At 39.7% G+C, this 5043-nt stretch overlaps 1 annotated feature.

Moving 5' to 3' along the window:
- Window positions 2214-2715: an enhancer, noted in NCBI's record as "H3K4me1 hESC enhancer chr2:156207407-156207908 (GRCh37/hg19 assembly coordinates)". NCBI's record gives its function as "activates a minimal SCP1, AML or CMV promoter by ChIP-STARR-seq in primed H9 embryonic stem cells {active_cell/tissue: H9 hESC(primed)}" and the evidence as "EXISTENCE:reporter gene assay evidence [ECO:0000049][PMID:30033119]".

Genomic DNA, 5043 nt, shown 5'->3' with positions numbered 1-5043 from the left:
TTCTGGAGGTAAAATTCACAAAAGTACGTGTGGAGGGAAGGTGGCTTATGAATGGCTACCCCTGAAGGTTTAAACTCTTAGGACTTGCCCATACTAACCCTCCAGCAGTTTATTAATTACAGTTTAGGCTTCTCTAATCCTGAGGCAGCTCCTGCTAGTGAGTCTTTGCTCTGGTATGCTGTGACTCCTTGTATTCATCTGTCTGTCTCTCCAATCTTGGAGATATTTTCATTCCATGTTCCTACTTCATTTATGAATTTAAGAATAATTGCTGGTTTTTCAGTCTGTTCACCTTTGTACTTATGAGTGATGACTTCCAAGTTCCTTACATGAGGAACCATGGATAGACATGAAAGGTTTTATCTCTGTTTTTATTTTTATTGCTTCAAAACAAAAATAATAACAAAGAATAGGATGATTTGTAAAATATGCAGTAGTTAGGTGTGTGAAAATACTAGCACAAAGAACAGGAAGGGAAATATATTCATTGCAAGTTCTTATAAACATGGAGTGATATTTTAATAGCCACAATAAAACAAATAAAACAAAGATCTATGACTTCTAAGTTAATGGAAGAGAAAAAGCAATGGAATTTATATATGCCCAATTAAATAATCAAACAACAGATGTAAACACATAGAAAATAATAGCCATATAGTACCAGTAAAGCCTATCATATTTGCAATAGCATTAAATATAAGTATCTAAACACTCTGATCATAAAGCATTAAATGTAATAATGAATAAATACATAATAGGCAAACACATAGTCTCCACTTTGAGATGCCTCTTAAACAAAGGTTGAATGTACGGTTGTCCTCCCTTATCTGCAGGGAATATATTTCAAGACCTTCAGTGGGTGTGTGAAACAGCGGATAGTACCGAAGCTTATATTACTGTTTTCTTTTTCTACCTATGCATACCTATGATAAACTTTCATTTATAAGTATGGCACAGTAAGAGATTAACAATGATACTTAATAAGTTAGAACAATTATAATAATATACTATAATAAAAGTTAGATAAATGTGCTGTCTCTATCTTTCCCTTTTAAAATCTATTATGGTAATGTACTTATCTATTTTTGAACTGTAGTTGATCATATGTAACTAAAATCATGGAAAGTAAAACCACAGATGGGGGGCTGCCATATGGAAGAATAATATACCATGCAGTCAACAATACTAACGAAGGCTGGAATGGTTGTGTTAATATAAAACAAAGAAGACTTCACAAGAAATAATATTACCAGTGATAAAGAGCAACCCTTTATAATAATAAAAGGGTCAATTCTTCAAGAAGATATGAAAATACTATTTGTATACTTACATAAAAGTGATAAGTGTATACTTACATAAAATATGAACACAGAATGGAAAAGAAAAAAACACAAGAAATACATTTATATGTAAATATTTCAAAATTACTTTCTCAGTAATTAATAAAAAACATATTTATAAAACCAGTAAATTATGGAAGACTTGAATATTTTTATGAAAATTGGTCTCACAGAGCACCACAACTAATAACAGCAGAATTCATATTCTTTCAAAGTATAAATAAAACATTGCACAAAAGGGACTATATGATGACCGTAAACAATATTGAGTAAATATATCTGGCAAGATGGCTGAATAGGAACAGCTCCAGTCTGCAGCTCCCAGTGAGACCAATGCAGAAGGTGGGTGATTTCTGCATTTCCAACTGAGGTGCCCAGTTGATCTCACTGGGACTGGTTAGGCAGTGGGTGCAGCCCACAGAGGGCAAGCAGAAGCAGGGTGGGACGTTGCCTCACCTAAGAAGTGCAAGGGGCCAGGGACCTCCCTCCCACAGTCAAGGGAAGCCATGAAGGATTGTGCTATCCAGCCCAGATACTACGCTTTTTCCATGGTTTTTGCAATCCATAGAGCAGGAGATTCCCTCATGTGCCTACACCACCAAGGCCCTGGGTTTCAACCACAAAACTGGGTGGCTGTTTGGTCAGACACCAAGCTAGCTGCAGGAGTTTTTTTTTTTCGTACCCAAGTAGTGCCTGGAACCCCAGCAAGTCAGAACCGTTCACTCCCCTGGAAAAGCGCTGAAGCCAGGGAGCCAAGTGGTCTCACTCAGCGGGTCCCACTCCCGTGGAGCCCAGCAAGCTAAGAACCACTGGCTTTAAATTCTCTCCACTAGCGTAGCAATTGTAGCAGTCTAAAGTCCATCTTGGACGTTCCAGCTTGGTTGGGGGAGGGGCGTCCACCATGACTGAGGCTTGAGTAGGCGGTTTTCCCCTGACATTGCTAAGGAGGCCAGGAAGTTTGGACTGGGCGGAACTCACCGCAGTGCAGCAAAGTGGCTTTGGCCAGACTGCCTCTCTAGGTTTCTCCTCACTGGGCAGGGCATCTCTGAAAGGTAGCAGCCCCAGTCAGGGGCTTATAGATAAAACTCCCAGCTCCCTGGGTCAGAGCACCTGGGGGAAGGGGTGGCTGTGGGAGCAGCTTCAGCAGATTTAAACACTCCTGCCTTCCAGCTCTGAAGAGAGCAGCGGATCCTAACAAGGAGGATTCCCCCAGCACAGTGTTCAAGCTCTGCTAAGGGACAGACTGCCTCCTCAAGTGGGTCCCTTAGCCCTGTGCCTCCCGACTGGGAGAGACCTCCCAGCAGGGGTCGACATTCACCTGATACAGGAGAGCGCCCGCTGGCATCAGGCTGGTGCCTGTCTGGGACGAAGCTTCCAGAGGAAGGAGCAGAAAGCAATTTTTGCTGTTTGCAGGCTCCACTGGTGATACCGCAGGTGACACCTGGGGGTCTAGAGTGGACCCCCAGCAAACTGCAGCAGACCTGCAAAAGAGGGGCCTGACTGTTAGAAGAAAAACTAACAAACAGAAAGCAACATCATCAACATCAACAAAAAGGAGTCCCCTCCCCCCGACAAAAACCCCATCCAAAAGTCATCAGTCTCAAAAAAAAAAGGTAGAAAAATCCACAAAGATGAGGAAAAACCAGCGCAAAAAAGCCAAAACTTCCAAAAACCAGAACACCTCTTCTCATCCAAATGATTGCAATTCTTCTCTAGCAAGGGCACAAAATTGAATGAAGAATGAGATTAATGAGTTGACAGAAGTATACTTCAGAATGTGGGTAATAACAAACTCCTCCCAGCTAAAGGAACATGTTCTAACCCAATGCAAGGAAGCGAAGAGCCTTGATAAAAGGTTACAGGAACTGCTAACTAGAATAGCCAGTTTAGAGAAGAACACAAATGACCTGATGGAGCTGAAAAACACAGCACAAGAACTTCATGAAGTATACACAAGTATCAATAGCCAAATCAATCAAACGGAAGAAACAATATCACAGATTGAAGATCAACTTAATGAAATAAAGTGTGAAGACAAGATTAGAGAAAAAAGAATGAAAAGGAATGAACAAAGCCTCCAAGAAATATGGGACTATGTGAAAAGACCAAACCTACGATTGATTGGTGTACCTTAAAGTGATGGGGAGAATGGAACCATGCTGGAAAACACACTTCAGGATATTATCCAGGAGAACATCCCTAACCTAGCAAGACAGACCAACACTCAAATTCAGGAGATACAGAGAACGTCACTAAAATACTCCTCGAGAAGAACAGCCCCAACACAAATAATCATCAGATTCTCCAAGGTTAAAACGAAGGAAAAAAATGTTAAAGGCAGCCAGAGAGAAAGGACAGGTTACTTATAAAGGGAAGCCCATCAGACTAACAGTGGATCTCTCTGCAGAAACCCTGCAAGTCAGAAGAGAGTGGGGGCAAATATTCAACATTCTTAAAGAAAAGAATTTTCAACCCAGAATTTCATATCCAGTCAAACTAAGCTTCATAAGTGAAGAAGAATTAAAATTCTTTACAGACAAGCAGATGCTGAGGGATTTTGTCACCATCAGGCCTGCCTTACAAGAGCTTCTGAAGGAAGCACTAAATATGGGAAGGAAAAACTGGTACCAGCCACTGTAAAAGCACACAAAATTATAAAGACCAACAACACTACGAAGAAACTGCATCAACTAATGTGCAAAACAACCAGCTAGCATCATGATGACAGAATGAAATTCACACATAACAATATTAACTTTAAATGTAAAAGGGCTAAATGTCCCAATTAAAAGACACAGAATGACAAATTGGATAAAGAGTCAAGACCCATTGGCGTGCTGTATTCAGAAGACCCATCTCATGTTCAAAGACACACATAGGCTCAAAATAAAGGGATGAAAGAATATTTACCAAACAAATGGAAAGAAAAAAAACAGGGGTTGTAATCCTTGTCTCTGATAAAACAGTTTTTAAACCAAGAAACATCAAAAGAGACAAAGGACATTATATAATGGTAAAGGGATCAATACAAGAAGAGCTAACTATTCTAAATATATATGCACCCAATACAGAAGGACCCAGATTCATAAAACAAGTTCTTAGAGACCTACAAAGATACCTGGACTCCCACACAATAATAGTGGGAGACTTTAACACCCCACTGTCAATGTTAGATCAACTAGAGAGAAATTTAACAACGATATTCAGGACTCGAACTCAGCTCTGGACCAAGGGGACCTAATAGACATCTACAGAACTCTCCACCCCAAATCAACAGAATATATATTCTTCTCAGTGCCACATAGCACTTATTCTAAAATCAACCACATAATTGGAAATAAAACACTCCTCAGCAAATGCAAAAGAACTGAAATCATAACAGTCTCTCAGATCACAGTGCACTCAAATCAGAACTCAGGATTAAGAAACTCACTCAAAACCACACAACTACATGGAAACTGAACAACCTGCTCCTGAATAACTACTGGGTAAATAACAAAATTAAGGTGGAAATAAAGAAGTTCTTTGAAATGGATGAGAAAAAAGAGACAACGTACCAGAATCTCTGGAACACAGTTAAAGCAGTGTTAAGATGGAAACTGATAGGACTAAATGCCCACATCAGAAAGTGGGAAAGATCTGAAATTAATACCTTAATATCACAATTAAAAGAACTAGAGAAGCAAGAGCAAATAAATTCAAA

This window comes from Homo sapiens, chromosome 2 (genome assembly GCF_000001405.40).
Source record: "Homo sapiens chromosome 2, GRCh38.p14 Primary Assembly".
NCBI classification, from domain to species: Eukaryota; Metazoa; Chordata; class Mammalia; order Primates; family Hominidae; genus Homo; species Homo sapiens.
This window is presented reverse-complemented; position numbering and strand designations above follow the sequence as displayed.